This window comes from Homo sapiens, chromosome 7 (assembly GCF_000001405.40).
Source record: "Homo sapiens chromosome 7, GRCh38.p14 Primary Assembly".
Classification (NCBI taxonomy): Eukaryota; Metazoa; Chordata; class Mammalia; order Primates; family Hominidae; genus Homo; species Homo sapiens.
The window spans coordinates 100,013,578-100,031,674 of NC_000007.14; the positions used below are offsets into that span (position 1 = coordinate 100,013,578).

The 18,097-nt window shown below is 45.9% G+C and overlaps 1 protein-coding gene across 10 annotated transcripts in view, besides 1 other annotated feature; it reads left to right on the top strand.

Moving 5' to 3' along the window:
• Window positions 2,019-18,097, top strand: part of ZKSCAN1 (zinc finger with KRAB and SCAN domains 1) — a 29,779-nt gene continuing 13,700 nt past the window's right edge. For 2 of the 10 annotated variants that reach the window (NM_001346579.2, NM_003439.4), the window contains exons 1-5: window positions 2,019-2,149; window positions 9,842-10,355; window positions 10,577-10,730; window positions 16,284-16,375; window positions 16,672-16,798. In NM_001346579.2, the coding sequence (NP_001333508.1) occupies window positions 9,930-10,355; window positions 10,577-10,730; window positions 16,284-16,375; window positions 16,672-16,798 (799 nt within the window). In that variant the 5' untranslated portion in view covers window positions 2,019-2,149; window positions 9,842-9,929. Of the gene's footprint in view, window positions 2,150-5,653; window positions 5,773-9,317; window positions 9,478-9,841; window positions 10,356-10,576; window positions 10,731-16,283; window positions 16,376-16,671; window positions 17,622-18,097 lie in introns of those variants that run through there. The other 8 variants (NM_001287054.3, NR_144477.2, NM_001346581.2 and 5 more) reach the window with 8 other exon arrangements.
• Window positions 2,105-2,274: a silencer, noted in NCBI's record as "silent region_18412". NCBI's record gives its function as "represses an Ori minimal core promoter by ATAC-STARR-seq in GM12878 lymphoblastoid cells {active_cell/tissue: GM12878}" and the evidence as "EXISTENCE:reporter gene assay evidence [ECO:0000049][PMID:35858748]".

Here is an 18,097-nt window from a genome sequence, read left to right on the forward strand (position 1 = left end):
TAGTAAATATATTTTCTCTTCCTTAAAAAACAGTGTTCACATGATATGAATGTAGCAGATACTTCCAGGATACCAGCCTCCTCTTCAATACAACTGCAACTATGGTTTTGAACAGTGTTTAAAATAATATCAATAAATATTTATTTGTATATGAAAACAGGAAAAAGGTAAACTAAAGCCATGGGGATTGTGTTAGGGTGGAGAGATTACCGGTAATTATTTTTCTCCATTTTGCAAATTTCCTTTAATGATACTGTTGTTGCTTCTTTTTTGGATACAGAGTCTAGCTCTGTCCCCAGGCTGGAGAGCAGTGGCACGATCTCGGCTCACTGCAGCCTCCGCCTCTGGAGTTCAAGCGATTCTCCTGCCTCAGCCTCCCAAGTAGCTGGGACTATAGGCGTGTGCCACCACGCCCAGCTAATTTTTGTATTTTTAGTAGAGACGGGGTTTCACCATATGGGCCAGGATGATCTCAATCTCTTGACTTCGTGATCCACCCACCTTGGCCTCCCAAACTGCTGGGATTACAGGCATGAGCCACCGTGCCCGGCCCTTTTTTTCTTTTTTGAGATGGGATCTTGCTCTGTGGCCCAGACTGGGGTGCAATGGCACAATCATAGCTCACTGCAGCCTCAACCTCCTGGGCTCAATCTATCCTTCTACCTCAGCCTCCCAAGCAGCTGGGACCACTGGCACACACTACCCTGCACCCAGCTAATTTTAGTATTTTTTGTAGAGAGAGGGTCTCATTACGTTGCTTAGGCTGGTCTCCAACTCTTGGGCTCAAGAATCCTCCCGTCCCAGCCTCCCGAAGTGCTAAGATTACAGGCTTGAGTCATCGTGTCTGGCCCTGTCATTGCTTTTTAGTTTTCAAACATTTTTTAAAAAGTAAATCTGGCCGGGCACGGTGGCTCACGCCTGTAATTCCAGCACTTTGGGAGGCTGAGGCGGGTGGATCACAAGGTCAGTAGATCGAGACCATCCTGGCCAATATGGTGAAACCCTGTTCTCTACCAAAAATACAAAAATTAACCAGGCATGGTGGTGTGCGCCTGTAGTCCCAGGTACTCAGGAGGCTAAGGCAGGAGAATCGCTTGAACCTGGGAGGTGGAGGTTGCAGTGAGCCAAGATGGTGCCACTGCACTGCAGGCTGGGTGACAGAGCGAGACTCCATCTAAAAAAAAAAAGTAAATCTCTCCAAGCAGTAAGAGTCATGCAACCAAGCTACTGAGTTTCTCCCATGAACTTGTCTCGGAACATAGTGGAAAGTCACAACCATTAAAGCCTGTAGTCCCCCCCACCCTTGCACAACGTGGCCCCCTCTTATGCGTGCCTTACCCTGCAAGGCAAAGATGAAGGCTGTAACTGTGGTAGGTTGTGAAAGCACTTTGAAGGTAAAAGTGTCTGTTGTTACTCTGAAAACTCCTTTTAAACGGCTATAATAGCATATGCCACATGAGCAAAGCACAGAACCTTATAACTATGCTTGCTTGTGGAAAGACATCCCTTGTCCACGGGCCAAGTATTTGAAAATACCACTCCATATAGCTCCAGGGCCCTGAGAGAAGCTACCGTGGCAGCTTTGGGAAACCAGCCACCCTTGGCTTCACTTTGATCTTCCTCAGTCTACATCCTTGTTTCAGTTCCTTTGCCACAGACATACAATTACCAAGTACTATATTGCTTGATAATAACTATAATTACTACAAGGACTGCCTGAGATGAAAAAGACAGGTGAAATCGAACTTTCACATGGACTGGTGTCTGAGCTGGAGAGTCTGTTTGAGTTTGAGTAGGGGAAAGCCTGAAACCCCCCACCACCTGCTCCCGTTAGTCCCTGCATTAACTAGGGGCGGACTGGGACCTGATCCTCCAAGCTGGAGGCTTGAAAACTCAAGGGCAGGCGCCTGGTCCAGCGATTCGGAAACCGAGATGCAAAGTCCTCCCGCGCTCCTAGAGAGGACCCGGAAGCGCGGCGCGGTCCCGGAAGACGAGGTGGTGACACGCTTCCGGCCTTTGTGACTCATTGTGTCTGTGTCGAGGCGTCGGGAGGGCCTAAGTCCGTGTGCGGTGCCCTTCGGCCGGCCTGAGCCCCAGAGTCAGCTCCCCTTTCTCGCCCAGCGCCCCCAGGCCGCTCCCGGGGCTCACGGTGAGACTTGGGGCCGGCCTCTGGGGTGGGAGGGCGGGGCCGCAAGGGTGTGTGCGCGAGGGTGGGCTCCGCAGCTGCGGCCCTGGGACCCCCTCCAGGCGGCCCCGCTGTTGTGCGAAGAGAGTCCATGCCCCTGCCTCCTGGCCGGGCCCGGCCGTAGAAAGCGCCGTTCTTCCTGGGAGACGTCCCCGCCCCACCCCCAGGATCAGGCGGGGAGGGGGCGAGGGTTTCAGTGGCTGAGGGTGCCCGGAGACCCGGGGAGAAGCCGTCTGTGGGCCCCTCTCCCGCAGTGTCGTCATCGCCCTTTGACGTTTCTGCAAACGGGGTCGCGAGCGAACCGACCCCGGTCTTGATTTTTCTGCTCTCCCTTAGTCGCCATTTGCTTTGATTCCGGTGAGGTGTCTTTTTCCCCCCCCGGTTCCTTCGGGACCTCGAGGTGAAATGAGCGGAAGGATGAGAGATGGACACATTTTGAGGTGCCGCATACGTTTCCAGACCTGCCTTTCCTTCTCCCACCCTCATCACTGAGCGGTGATTAAAGAGTATTTGAAGCCTAGTCATAGTGGATAAATAGGTGATTGGGATCTAGTAGAGATTATATACACCCCACTCTTTCAGCTTGATGGAATGCTTTGAAGGCTTTGGAAAAGAGCTGTCCGGGACGTTAGGTGGATTTTTCAATTCTGGATAGTTGCTCTGTTTGACATGGAGTGGGGTGAGAAGTGAAGGGAATTTGTGGAAATTGCACTGTGTCACTAGGAGACTGATTAGCTGAGTGACCTTGGATAAGACGAGACACTCACCAAGTCTTAATTTCGTCATCAATAAAAACTAACTGGATTTTCTCAAAAGGCCCTTCCGACTTCGAAATGATTTGGTCAATGTAATTGAAGAATTAACTACAGTTTAGCTTGACACTCCTCCATCCCTCCCCTCCCTTTCCTGCAGTGCCCCCTGTACACAGTAAGATACTTTCATTATAGAGAGTGGCTGTTCCATGGCCTGGGACCAAAGAAAGCATTTATTGTACGGGCCAGTGCTAGGCGGATTGGAGGCGGTCAATAAATACTTGTTGAATTGAATTGTGGAGAATTCATTGTAACCACATCAGCAAAGCACTGTTAGTATATATGCTGAACAAATGTGGAGAAATCGCTGTTTTACATAGGAAACCATGGTGATTTGCCCCAGAATGTGTATCCAGGTTTGTATCTTCTCTGAATTAACATATAAGATTCTTGTTTATTATTTCAGGCAGTTTTCACCACTCTTAAAATACAAACGAGGAAGCTAGCTACTTAGTCTTTTGCTCATTCTCGATTTAAAAGCATTTAAAATACAGATGAATAGCATATTAAATCTAACATTTTCATTCTGTGGGAGTATCAATATTCTTTGAATAGCTAGCTGTCTTTTAAGGTAGCTTTTTCATATTAAAACATTTGATTGCTCTTTAAAAAAATGAGTGTAAAGGGCAAAGGGCAATTTATTTAAAAAAAAATTTTTTTTTTTTTGAGACAGAGTCTTGCTCTGTCGCCCAGGCTGGAGTGCAGTGGTGCGATCTCGGCTTACTGCAACCTCTGCCTCCCGAGTTCAAGCGATCCTCCTGCCTCCGCCTCCCGAATAGCTGGGACTACAGGCATGTGTCCCAAGGCTTGGCTGATTTTTGTATTTTTAGTAGAGACAGAGTTTCGCCATGTTGGCCAGGCTGGTCTCGAACGCCTGATCTCAGGCAGTCCGCCAACCTCAGCCTCCCAAAGTGCTGGGATTACGGGCGTGAGCCACTGTGTGCCCAGCCTTTGTTTACATTTTCAAGACTATGCCCTGGAAAAATACTGGGCTGTTTGGAACACAGCCTTTGAGCTTGTAACTTCAAGCCGTTGTTTAAGAAAATCATTTCTGTTTATCCTAGGTGAGAACTGAGGTATCCTTAGCTGCTGGAGGTAATTTTATTTAAAGTGGATGGTATGTCAGTATGTTTTTCAGCCCATATTCACCCAGAGGTAGTTTCCTACTATCTGGAACCCCCACCCTACCCCCATTTGACTGATAAAGATACAAAATGCCAGAGAAGTTAAATACCTCTCTCAGGGATGTGCCACTTACTTGTGGGAGACTAGAATTCAGTTATTGCCTGTGCAGCTTTCACTATTACAGGAGTTGTCCCATTGCTTAATCTTCTAAGCAGGCTGAAAATTGGAATGTACAGTTACATCTTTTAAGCTTATTGAAAAAAATTAAGACATTTCTGTAGTGCCTACTAAATGCCAGGCACTATTTTAAGTGCTTTATATCTATTACCTCATTTAATCCTCACGGCAACTCTATGGGACAAATGCTGATTTTTATTCCCATTATACAGATGAGGAAACTGACGCATAGAGAGGTTAACTTGTTGACTTGCCTAAGGCCGTCAACTAGTAAGGGGTGGAGCAGCTTTAATGCTAACCTGAAACTCATCCAACTAGTCCATGGAACAAATTTGAGTGCAACATTGAATGTAGAATGATCGGGCTTTTAAAAAATAGTAACGTTGTCAATTCAGTCAAGTGTATTTTTGAAACTGAGGCTTGCAAGGAATCATGCTAAGTGGTCTAAGGAGTACAAAGAGGACTGCTCTTAATAATCTAGTTGAGGAAGAAGGCAAGAAAAATTACAGAGAAAGAAACATCATGAGAAATTTTTTTTTTTTTTTTGAGACAGAGTCTCGCTCTGTCACCCAGGCTGGAGTGCAGTGGCGCAATCGCAGCCTCCCGGGTTCACGCCATTCTCCTGCCTCAGCCTCCCAAGTAGCTGGGACTACAGGCGCCCGCCACCACACCCAGCTAATTTTTTATATTTTTAGTAGAGACGGGGTTTCATCGTGTTACCAGGATGGTCTCGATCTCCTCACCTCGTGATCCGCCCACCTCAGCCTCCCAAAGTGCTAGGATTACAGGCATGAGCCACTGCGCCCGGCGCATCATGAGAAATTACCTAGCAAATGTTTGGTGAAGAGTATTAGGGCCTTTAGAGACAGAAGAGTATGTGCTCAGATCATCTGGGAAACCTCAAATAAAACCCAGCCTTTCCACTGCTGTGATGGCTTTTCCCTGCACCCCAGAGTAGGAGCAGAGAGATACTGAAGGTGAGGAGGAGGATCTGTCCCAGTTGTGGGCAGAGGGAATGTGCCCATGTCTGTGTCTATTTCCCCCTGGACTCATTTCCTCCTTAGAGTCGCATCTTCGCACTGACCCAAGAAGTGTCCTGCTCAATAGCTAAGGCAGGATAAAACTTTCACAAAAGTAGGGATTTCTGGTGGCTGGGCTCGCTATCACACTAGTTCTGCTCAGTTACCATGTTTGAAGATCCCACCTGGTTATGTTGTAGACAGTCCCCACTTGAATCTTCTGCTGTGTCTCCTCCCTTTCCCAGGAAGGGCTTCAGTCACATAGTGACCCTCCAGTGAAAACTGGGTGGTAGATAAGGCCCGTTCCTGAGTGATTTTTTTTTCTCTTTGAGAAGGAGTCTCTCTCTGTCACCCAGGCTGGAGTGCAGTGGCGCGTTCTCAGCTCACTGCACCCTCCACCTCCCAGGTTCAAGTGATTCTCCTGCCTCAGCCTCCCGAGTAGCTGAGATTACAGGTATGTGCCACACATCCAGCTAATTTTTGTATTTTTAGTAGAGACGGGGTTTCGTCATGTTGGCCAGGCTGGTCCCGAGCTCCTCAGCTCAGGTGATCGACCCTCCTTGGCATCCCAAAGTGCTGGGATTACAGGCGTGAGCTACCGTGCCTGGCCCTGATTGATTCTTCATTGTCACGTTCATAGGCCTTCATTTTAGGATCTGTATACCCCACATGTCAGGTACAAGATAAATTTTGTATAATGGTTAAAGAGTTTACATTGGGGAATCACTTTTATTTCAAATTCTGCCTCTACCATATACTTGCTGTGTGACCTTGAGTAAGTTATTTAATGGCAGTATATCTCAGTTCTTCTTTTGTTTTTTTTTGAGATGGAGTCTCACTCTGTTGCCCAGACTGGAGTGCAGTGGTGTAATCTCAGCTCACTGCAGCCTCCGCCTCCCAGGTTGAAGCAACTCTCCTGCCTCAGCCTCCCGAGTAGCTGGGACTACAGGCATTGCACCACCACACCTGGCTAATTTTTGTATTTTTAGTAGAGATGGGGTTTTGCCATGTTATCCAGGCTGGTCTCGAACTCCTGACCTCAGGTTATCTATCTGCCTTGGCCTCCCAAAGTGCTGGGATGACAGGCATGAGCCGCTGCGCTCAGCCTCTCAGTTCTTTATACAGTGAGATGATAAGTGTAGCTACCTGCTAAGATTGTTATGTGGTCAAGTGAAAATGCTTAAATACCCGGTACCTAGAAAGCACTCAGTAAACATTGGCTCTTACTGTTATAGTTATGAGAGGGTTCTTGAACAGTGATAAGAGGCAAGTCGCGTTTTAGCTAGCTTTAAAGGTTAAGTAGGATTTGAAAAGGCAGAGAGGACTGCGGGGGGAAGTCCCAGGCATGGAGTGTGATGTGAGGAAAGGATGGCAGTCAAAATACAAGGCATATATAGGAAATACTGATGAGAGGGCTTTTGTTGCATAGGGAAGGTTTATGGGGGGATTGATGGGAAAAGAAGCTTGAGGGAAAATTGGGACCAGGCACTGGAAAGTATTAACTGCAAGGCTGTAGAGTTTTAGAAAGAATAATCTGAAAGGTGGATTGTGGGAGAGAAGGGAGAAAATGAAGGCAGGGAACCAAAGAAAGGAAGCTGGACTTCATGGAACTAGATTAAAAAAAATAAGTATGGCCTGTAATCCCAGCTACTCAGGAGGCTGAGGCAGGAGAATTACTTGAACCCGAGAGGCGGATGTTGCAGTGAGCTGAGATCATGCCATTGCACTCCAGCCTGGGCGATAGAGCAAGACTCCGTTTCAATATATATGTATATATAATTTTTGTGCTGTTATATGTACATGATCCCTTTTTCACCAAAATTAAGAATATGTTTAGTGAGAGCCATAAAACTAAAAATGCTTTTGCTAGTTTAAAACTCGGTTTAACCCATCATGATAAAGCAGTTTAATGGTCTGTTTCTAAAACTTCAATTTGATGCTTAGTTTTGATGGCTGTAGAGGTGAAAAGAATAAATTCAGAAAGATTTGTAGCTTCAGATGGAAGAATCACAGTGTCAGTTCTGCTTAGTAACTTGTGATTGATCCAACCTATCAACCATGCTGAATTTTTGTTGTTGAAATGCAGGGTATAGTCTTACAAACTAATCAGGTGGTGGCATTTTATATTTTTAACAAATAGGCTTAAGACCCACCTGAAATTCTTCATTTGAAAGATTTTTAAACAGGTTAGAAAATATTTCCAAGTTTCTTTTTTTTTTCCTTTTTTTTTTTTTTTTTTTTTTGAGATGGAGTCTCACTTTGTTACCCAGGCTGGAGTGCAATGGCGTGATCTCAGTTCACTGCAACCTCAGCCTCCTGGGTTCAAGCGATTCTCCTGCCTCAGTCTCCCAAATAGCTGGGATTACAGGCGCCTGCTACCATGCCCAGCTAATTTTTTGTATTTTTAGTAGAGACGGGGTTTCACGATGATGGCCAAGCTGGTCTTGAACTCCTGACCGCAGGTGGCCCCCTGCTCCCTGCCTCAGCCTCCCAAAGTGCTGGTATTACAGGCATGAGCCACCTCACCCAGCCCCAAGTTTCTAAAATGTGAACATAGATGGGTTTTTCCTGGATACTTGACATCATTTTTGGCAGTTAAATTACATAACAATGGAACCATTTCATACAGCTGTTCCTGTAATTGCCCTTTCTTCACACTTTCTTTAAAGAAGCTGATTACTCATTGGTGACTTTTTCTTTGATTTAGACTGACATTGGTTTTTACCTCCTAATGTGGCTAAAACCTTACTCTAGATAGAAGCTTCATCTGTGCCATTTTCTTCTTGTTCACATCTGTTTATATTATTAGTGTGTCCTGTAATTGCAGTTTCTCTATAAGAATCTTTTTTTTTTTTTTTTTCCTTTTCCTGATAGGGCTTTGCTCTGTCACCCAGGCTGGAATGCAGTGGCGTGATCGTAGCTGACTGCAGCCTCAAACTTCTGGTTTCATGCAATCCTCCCACCTTAGCCTCCTGAGTAGCTGTGACTGCAGACACAGTCCCCATGCCCAGCTAATTTTTTTCTTTTTCATAGGGACAGGGTCTTGCTATGTTGCCCAGGCTGGTCTCAAACTTCTGGCTTCAAGCATCCTCCTGCCTCATCCTCCCAAAGGGCTGGAATTATAGGCATGAGCTACCATATCTGGCCACAAGAATCTTTAAAGCTGCTTGTCTCTTTTATGACAGAGTCTCGCTCTGTGGCCAGGATGGAGTGCAGTGGCGCGATCTCGGCTCACTGCAACCTCCGCCTCCTGGGTTCAAGTGATTCTCCTTCCTCAGCCTCCCAAGTAGCTGGGACTACAGGTGCCCGCCACCGCGCCCAGCTAATTTTTCTATTTTTAGTAGAGACAGGGTTTCACCATGTTGACCAGGATGGTCCCGATCTCCTGACCTCGTGATCCGCACGCCTTGGCCTCCCAAAGTTTTGGGATTATAGGCATGAGCCACTGCGCCCAGCCAAAGCTAGATTTAGAAATCCATTATTTCACATAACTGGTCTCAGATAAACCAGTCTACATCACAATGTCTAAAATGAACAACACCTGTGACAGGTCAGCACAGACTAAGTAAGTGTATTAGTGTCAATTTATAGCTTAATTTCTCTCTCTTTTAAGATACAGACATTCCAATTATTTTCTTTCTGTATCCTTTGCGGATCATCTTGTACTTTGGAAACCACAATTTAACTGCCCAAGTCACTCATAAAAATAGCAAAAGTAGCTGGATGGTACAAAAGTAGGTCCCAGGGCTTCAAATTTGGTTGAATATTGACTCCAGTAGGCAGCCACCTACTACTGAGCAAACCTAACCCTCAGTTATGTCATTTGTAAAACAGCACTTAACAGTTTGGCCGACCTGCTAGGGCTGTTGTAGGGACAAAAGAAGATGGTGCGTGTACTGCTTTAAGCCTGGCACCTGGCACTCTGCTAACATTCAGCTCTCTGGGCTGGGCACTGTTAATGCTCCATTTCGTAACCTGCTGTCAACCTGCAGGTAAATCACTCTGACTCCAAGCAAACACCCTGAGGGTGGAGTCGGCCTGTTTGAGGTTTCTGTTTGCAAATCTTGATATATGAAGTGACAGTGGAGATTGTACAGTTTTTTCCTCGATTTGTCAGGATTTTTTTTTTTTTGACGGAGTTTAACTTCTTGTCTCCCAGGTAGGAAGTGCAGTGGCGTAATCTCGGCTCACTACAACCTCCACCTCCTGGGTTCAAGCGTTTCTCCTGCCTCAGCTTTCCGAGTAGCTGGGATTACAGGCGCCTGCCACCATGCCCTGCTGACTTTTGTATTTTTAGTAGAGACGGGGTTTCACCATGTTGGCCAGGCTGGTCTTGAACTCCTGACCGCAGGCGATTGGCCTGCCTCGGCCTCCCAAAGTGCTGAGATTACAGGCGTGAGCCACCACCCCCGGCCTCAGGAGCGTTCTGATAGTGCCTCGATGTGCTGCCTCCTATAAAGTGTTAGCAGCACAGATCACTTTTTGTAAAGGTACGTACTAATGACTTTTTTTTTATACTTCAGGAATAGTAAAGAAACACATCATAAAACCTCCCAGGACATAAAGGTGAGCACAGACCCTGTTTGGATCAAGTCAGTTCCTGGAGCCTGAATGATGACTGCTGAATCACGGGAAGCCACGGGTCTGTCCCCACAGGCTGCACAGGAGAAGGATGGTATCGTAATAGTGAAGGTGGAAGAGGAAGATGAGGAAGACCACATGTGGGGGCAGGATTCCACCCTACAGGACACGCCTCCTCCAGACCCAGAGATATTCCGCCAACGCTTCAGGCGCTTCTGTTACCAGAACACTTTTGGGCCCCGAGAGGCTCTCAGTCGGCTGAAGGAACTTTGTCATCAGTGGCTGCGGCCAGAAATAAACACCAAGGAACAGATCCTGGAGCTTCTGGTGCTAGAGCAGTTTCTTTCCATCCTGCCCAAGGAGCTCCAGGTCTGGCTGCAGGAATACCGCCCCGATAGTGGAGAGGAGGCCGTGACCCTTCTAGAAGACTTGGAGCTTGATTTATCAGGACAACAGGTAAAAAGAGGTGAAACCTATTATGTGTGAGCAGGGCACAGACGTTGAAACTGGAGCCAGGAGAAGTATTGGCAGGCTTTAGGTTATTAGGTGGTTACTCTGTCTTAAAAATGTTCTGGCTTTCTTCCTGCATCCACTGGCATACTCATGGTCTGTTTTTAAATATTTTAATTCCCATTTACAAAGTGATTTACCCACAAGCCCAACCTGTCTGTCTTCAGGTCCCAGGTCAAGTTCATGGACCTGAGATGCTCGCAAGGGGGATGGTGCCTCTGGATCCAGTTCAGGAGTCCTCGAGCTTTGACCTTCATCACGAGGCCACCCAGTCCCACTTCAAACATTCGTCTCGGAAACCCCGCCTCTTACAGTCACGAGGTAAGAAGCAAGGTTTCATTTAGGGGAAGGGAAATGATTCAGGACGAGAGTCTTTGTGCTGCTGAGTGCCTGTGATGAAGAAGCATGTTAGTCCTGGGCAACGTAGCGAGACCCCATCTCTACAAAAAATAGAAAAATTAGCCAGGTATAGTGGCGCACACCTGTGATTCCAGCTACGCAGGAGGCTGAGGTGGGAGGATTGCTTGAGCCCAGGAGGTTGAGGCTGCAGTGAGCTGTAATCATGCCACTACTCCAACCTGGGCAACACAGCAAGGACCCTGTCTCAAAAGCTACTTACAGAAAAGAATTAGGCTCGGCACGGTAGCTCACACCTGTAATCCCAGCACTTTGGGAGGCTGAGGCGGGCAGATCACTTGAGGTCAGGAGTTTGAGACCAGCCTGGCCAACATGGTGAAACCTTGTCTCTACTAAAAATATGAAAATTAGCCAGGCATGGTGGCACATTCCTGTAATCCCAGCTACTCGGGAGGCTGAGGCAGGAGAATCACTTGAACCCAGGAGGTGGAGGTTGCAGTAAGCCGAGATCGTACCACTGTGCTCTAGCCTTGGTGACAGAGCGAGACTGTCTTAAAAAAAAAAAAAAAAAAAAAAGAATTAATTAAAAATTTAAAAAAAAATGAAAAAAAGCTGCATGCTTGTTTTTTGTTTTTAGTTATTCTACATTGTTGTCATTATTACCAAATATTGGGGAAAATACAACTTACAGACCAATCTCAGGAGTTAAATGTTACTACGAAGGCAAATGAACTATGCGTAATGAACCTGGTAGGCATTATTTATTGAATTATCAGCATTCCAGATGTCCAGCACATTTTTAATAGGAAAGTATTGGGAACAGATGTCATTATTTTCAGCCTAGGTTTTAAAACATTTTAGTATGTCATGAATTATCTTCAAAAGGATCATAAATCTTTTTTAAAGGTCCATTTTATTTAAAATATATAAAAATAATCACTGCACTGCAGCCTGGGTGACAGAGAGTCTGTTTCCAAAAAAAAAAAAAAAAACTATAGCATCAGTCTTTTCTAGGTTATTTTCAGAAATTTCAAACAATGGGAAAAGAATGGAAGAACTTTTGAGGGGAGTTGAGGAACACGAAAAAAGATCAGTTCACAGTCATATAAATAAAAAGTCATGTTACTTGTTTTTTCTCTTTTGACGGAAATATGTAATACATTTATCCAGTTTTAAAATCAAAGTATGTGCTTAGAATGTAAAGACAAGGAATGCTAAAAGTACATTTATCACTTAATGGCAGGGATAAGTTATGGTAAGTGCAATGTTAAGTGATTTTGTTGTGCGAACATCATAAAGTATACTTATACAAACCTAGATGGTCTAGCCTTCTCCACACCTACGCTACAAAGCTGTACAGTATGTTACTGTACTAAACACTGTAGGGAATTGTAACACAGTGGTAAGTATTTGTGTATCTAAACATCGAAAAAGTAAAAACAGAGTATAAAAGATTTTTAGCCCAGGCACAGTGGCTCACGCCTGTAATCCCAGCACTTTGGGAGGCCAAGGTGGGTGGATCACTTGAGGTTAGGAGTTTGTGACCAGCCTGGCCAACATGTTAAAACCCGGTCTCTACTGAAAATACAAAAATTGGCTGAGCGCAGTGGCTCACACCTATAATCCCAGCACTTTAGGAGGCCAAGGCAGGCAGATCACCTGAGGTCAGGAGTTCGAGATCAGCCTGACCAACGTGGAGAAACCCCGTCTTTACTAAAAATACAAAATTAGCCAGGCCTGGTGGCAGGTGCCTATAATCCCAGCTACTCAGGAGGCTGAGGCAGGAGAATTGCTTGAACTCAGGCAGCAGAGGTTGCGGTGAGCCAAAATCGCACCATTGTCATGCCATCGCACTCCAGCCTGAGCAACAAGAGTGAAACTCATCTCAAAAAAAAAAAAAAAAAAAAAAAAAGTACACCTGTATGGAACACTTAACCATGACTGGAGCTTGCAGGACCGGAAGTTGCTCTGGATGAGTCAGTGAGTGAGTGGTGAGTGAATGTGAAAGCCTAGGACACTACTCTACCATAGACTGTAGAAACACTGTACACTTAGGCTACACTAAATTTATCTTTAAAATTTTTGTTTCTTCAATAATAAATCAGCCAGGCATGGTGGCTCATGGCTTAATCCCAGCACTTCGGGAGTCCAAGGTGGGCGGATTACTTGAGGCCAGGAGTCTCAGACTGGTTTGGCCAACATAGTGAAACACTGTCTCTACAAAATAAAAAAATTAGCCAGGCGTGGTGGTGCATGCCTGTAATTCCAGTTACTCAGGAGGCTGAGGCACAAGAATTGCTTGAACCTGTAGGCAGAGGTTGTGGTGAGCCAAGATTGCACCACTGCACTCCAGCCTGGGTGACAGAGTGAGACTCTGTCTCAGAAAAAAAAAATAAATAAATAAATACAAATAATAAATTAGCTTACTGTAACTTTTTTACTTTATGAACTTTTTGATTTTTTTAACTTTTTGACTGTTGTAATAACATAACTCAAAAGACAAACATGTTGCACAGCTATACAAAAACATTTTTTATCCCCCTATTCTATAGGGGTTTTTCTAGTTAAAAAAATTTTTATTTTATACTTTTTAAGCTTTTTTTGTTAAAAATTCATACACCCTCCAAGCTAGGCAACAGAGCAAAACTCCATCTCAAAAAAGAAAAAAAAAGGCCAGGCGCAGTGGCCCACGCCTCTAATCCTGGCACTTTGGGAGGCGAAGGTGGGCAAATCACTTGAGGTCAGGAGTTCAAGACCAGCCTGGCCAACATGGCGAAACGCCGTCTGTACTAAAAATACAAAAATTAGTTGGTTGTGGTGGTGTACACCTGTAATCGCAGCTACTCAGGAGGCTGAGACACAAGAACGCTTGAACCCGGGAGGTGGAGGTTGCAGCAAACCAAGATGGCTCCTCTGCACTCCAGCCTGGGCGACAGAGCAACACTCATCTCAAAAAAAAAAAAAAAAGAATTGGTCGAGGCACATTCCTTAACCAGTGTGTTTATTGGTGATGACATTTAAGGAATATTAGACATGGAGCTTAAGGATGCATCCTCTCTTCCGTGCATCCTGGAGGACAGCCAGCAGGTATGTGCTAGAGAAAGCTGTGTAAACTGGTGCACCGTGGCCAGGCGTGGTGGCTCACGCCTGTAATTCCAGCACTTTGGGAAGCCGAGGCAGGAGGATCACAAGGTCAGGAGATTGAGACCATCCTGGCTAACGGTGAAACCCCGTCTCTCCTAAAAATACAAAAAATTAGCCAGGCATGGTGGCGGGTGCCTGTAGTCCCAGCTACTCAGGAGGCTGAGGCAGGAGAATGGCGTGAACCCGGGAGGCGGAGCTTGCAGTGAGCCGAGATTGCGCCACTGCACTCCAGCCTGGGCAACAGAGGGAGATGCTGTCTCAAAAAAAAAAAAAAAAAACACCGGTGCACCGTGATGTTTAACTCCACTACTGTTGATGTTCTTGTAAGGTTTCTCCACACTCTACAAGCAGAAGTCACAGGGCGACCTTAGGAAACTGGAGAGGATATTCATGGTCTTAAGCACTAGATTATAGAGTTTAGGTTGCCAGAGTAACAGTTTCAAAGATCCTGGCACACACAGTTGCTCTTTAGTAAATAGTTCTTAAATAAATTGAGACATGTACATTTATTCTCAATTTCCTCTTTCTTATTTGTTTTCCAGAGTGTTTCCTTACTCTCAGAAGTTTAAAAAATTAAGTACTTGGGGCTGGGCGCAGTGACTCACGCCTGTAATCCCAGCACTTTGGGAGGCTGAGGTGGCCAGATCATAAGGTCAAGAGATCGAGATCATCCTGGCCAACATGGTGAAACCCCGTCTCTACTAAAAATACAAAAACTAGCTGAGCGTGGTGGCAGGCACCTGTAGTCCCAGCTATTTGGGAGGCTGAGGCAGCAGAATCACTTGAACCCAGGAGGGGAGGTTGCAGTGAGCCGAGATCGCGCCATGCACACCAGCCTGGGTGATAGAGCGAGACTCCATCTCCAAAAAAAAAAAAAGTACTTGGGTACAGTGGCTCACACCTGTAATCCTAGCATTTGGGGAGACCAAGGTGGGAGGATCACTTGAGCCTGGGAGGTCAAGGCTGCAGTGAGACATGTTTGAGCACTGCATTCCAACCTGGGTGACAGAGAGCCTATCTTATTGTTGTATAAAGGTTTGAAATAGGTACAAGGTTTGGTCATTCAGTTTCAAATTCATTTCTCAAATATCCTTGTATCTCACTAACATCATCTGTCTACCAGTAACATTTCCAAATCTAATAGTACTTGGCAAGAGATGGGGAGGGGGTTAAATTGCACAATTTAAAATTTTCATAATTGTTATGCATCACAGTTATTGTGATCACGTGATAATGTTATGCATGTCTTTTGTTGTGTGTCAGCCCCAACTTTTGTCTCAGCATTTGAACCATGCATACATCTTATCAAAAAAAAAAAAAAAAAACAGTATTTATTGTGGCCAAGTGAGGGAGAAAAGTAGAGGGACAAAAACTGGCAAAAACTTAGCCAGAGGTGGCCGGACACAGTGGCTAACACTTGTAATCCCAGAGCTTTGGGAGGCCGAGGCGGGCAGATCACCTGAGGTCAGGAGTTCGAGACCAGCCTGACCAACATGGAGAAACCCCGCCTCTACTAAAAATACAAAATTAGCTGGGCGTGGTGGCTCATGCCTGTAATCCCAGCTACTCTGGAGGCTGAGGCAGGAGAATCACTTGAACCCGGGAGCCGAAAGTTGCGATGAGCTAAGATCGCACCATTGCACTCCAGCCTGGGCAACAAGAGCAAAACTCTGTCTCAAAAAAAAAAAAAAAAAAAAAAAAACTTACCCAGAGCTAAGGAGACCTCCTTACTTCCCTGCCTTTCTGGATATTGCTACTAAAGTGTTTTTTTTGTTGTTGTTTTTCTGGATTTCATTGAGACGGGGTCTCACTCTATCATCCAGGCTGGAGTGCGTGATCATAGCTCACTGCAGCCTCGACCCCTTGAGCTCAAGCAATCCTCCCGCCTCACCTGCCACTAAAGATTTTAAAGCTGTGTTGTGTTTTCCACAAGTGTAGGCATAAATGGGATTCTCATATCCTGGTATCGTTCCTTGGACTGGAGGAAATTAGGAGCCAGACTTGAGCTATGGGCTGAAGGTACCCACTTTTATAGCTGAGAATAGGAACCTGGGTCCCCATCCTGGCTCTGCCACTGGGAATGTGACATTAGGGAAGTCATTTGCAGTCTCAGGGACTCAAGTTTCCCCTTCTTTAAAATAAAAGGGTTGGACCAGGTGATTAGGACCCTTTTATGACTCCTGCTCAAGAGTAGAGGTCTTGGGAAAACTGAGGCCCTGTGTTCTCTCGTTTGTGTTGTCTGGAATTCTGTATTTGGGACCTAAACACTGAACAGTGAACATGCTGGTGCAGGAAGGAACATGCCCCGAGCCCTTCTTTGAGCAAGGCTCAGAGCGGAGCTGATTTACTCACAGACCCTTTCTCCTCCCCCAGCTCTTCCTGCTGCCCACATTCCTGCACCCCCTCATGAGGGTAGTCCCAGAGACCAGGCGATGGCATCTGCACTATTCACAGCGGATTCCCAGGTGAGCTGTGGCCCCTCTGCTCTCCTGAGTCCTCAGTGTCTGCCTCTGTTCCTGAGCTCTCTTCATTATCTCCACAGGCCACTCTGGATGCCCCTGCTCTCAAAGAAGCCCCAACCCTGTCCTCTCCTTTTAGCATCTTTCTACCACAAACTCCCCTCCACCCCCAGGTTCTGGCCACCCTTTTCTTCCCAGCGTCCTGTAGCTTTGCAGCCACCTCTCTTCCTGACTCCAGGTTTGAGCAATGGGATTGTCCCTGAGTTTGGGGGGAAATGACTGTTTGTCTCGTGTTATTTTAGGCAATGGTGAAGATCGAGGACATGGCTGTGTCCCTCATTCTGGAGGAATGGGGATGTCAGAATCTGGCTCGGAGGAATCTCAGTAGGGACAACAGGCAGGAGAATTATGGGAGCGCATTTCCCCAGGGTAAGACGGATGCAGGCTTACTGTCTGATAAGATGGTTTTGTCTCTCTGTGTGTTAGCTGTGGGATCTCTGATGTGTTCAATTGAGTGTTGAGGAGTTAGAGACTACCTATCCCCTTTTGTAGACCAGATGGAAAGTGAGAATGTTTGTGTTCATTTAACTCCAGAAGCATGGTACTGTGACCCTGATTCCAGGTGGGTTTTTTATTGCTAAGTAGTTTTTGCTCTTTAAAATCAGAAATAATTGAGTTCCAAGTCCTCACCTCTTCAGCCACTCAGTTGCCTGGGAGGCAGTTCTGCTCCGTTCCCATGGATTACAATTTAGGTGCCTCTGTCGGGGGAATATCTTTCCTAGCAGAGATGACCAGGCGAACTGATCATCCGTCTAATCCCAACCCATTGTCCCGGTACCACATTCCCGAAACTACCAAGCATCCTTCTGTTGGCTTTCTGTCTTCTTCCATCCTGTGTGATTAGTGTGATTCCAATACACTGCTTTGTGTAATTCCACGAACTTGCACCTGGACTGTCCTTGTGATGAGGATTCCCAGCTTCCAAACTTAATGGTGATTTTCTATGAAGAGCTCTGGGTCCTGGATGTGTAGTAAGAACGAGGAAGTTCAAGAGGCATCAGCCAGATAAGACAAGGTGACACTGTTGGCAGACATTTCCATTTGTCTCTGCTGGATCTTAACCCCTCAGGACAGTGCTGCAAAGAAGCCCTCACGTGAGTACAGCAATAGGGAGGTCCACAGCAAGCTTCTACCTGGAGAGGGCAAAGGGAGTGTGAATAAAGCGTGAACATGAAGGATGTTACTAATGAAACATCAAGTTCTATTTTTGATCAGGCATAAATGGGGCTTATAATTTCTCTTGGTACTTGCTCTTTGTACTAGATGATTTTTTTTTTTTTTTTTTTTTTTTGAGACAGGGTCTTGCTGTTTCCCAGGCTGGCATGCAGTGCTGCGATCACAGCTCACTGCAGCCTCGACCTCTCAGGCTCAAGCAATCCTCCCACCTCAGCCTCCCAAGTAGCTGGGACTACAGGCATGCATCACCATGCCCAGCTAATTTTTACATGTTCTGTAGAGAAGAGGTTTCGCCATGTTGCCTAGGCTGGTCTCAAAACCCTTGGGCTAAAGTGATCCACCTGTCTCCACTTCCTGGAGTTCTGGGATTTAACAGGAGTGAGCCACTGCACCTGGTCTCCAGCATTGTTTTCTGTTTCTTTTTTGTTCTGAGTTATTCTGTGTCAGTCAGTGAAGGGTTTAATTATTTTTACTAATGTCGTAACCACTTTT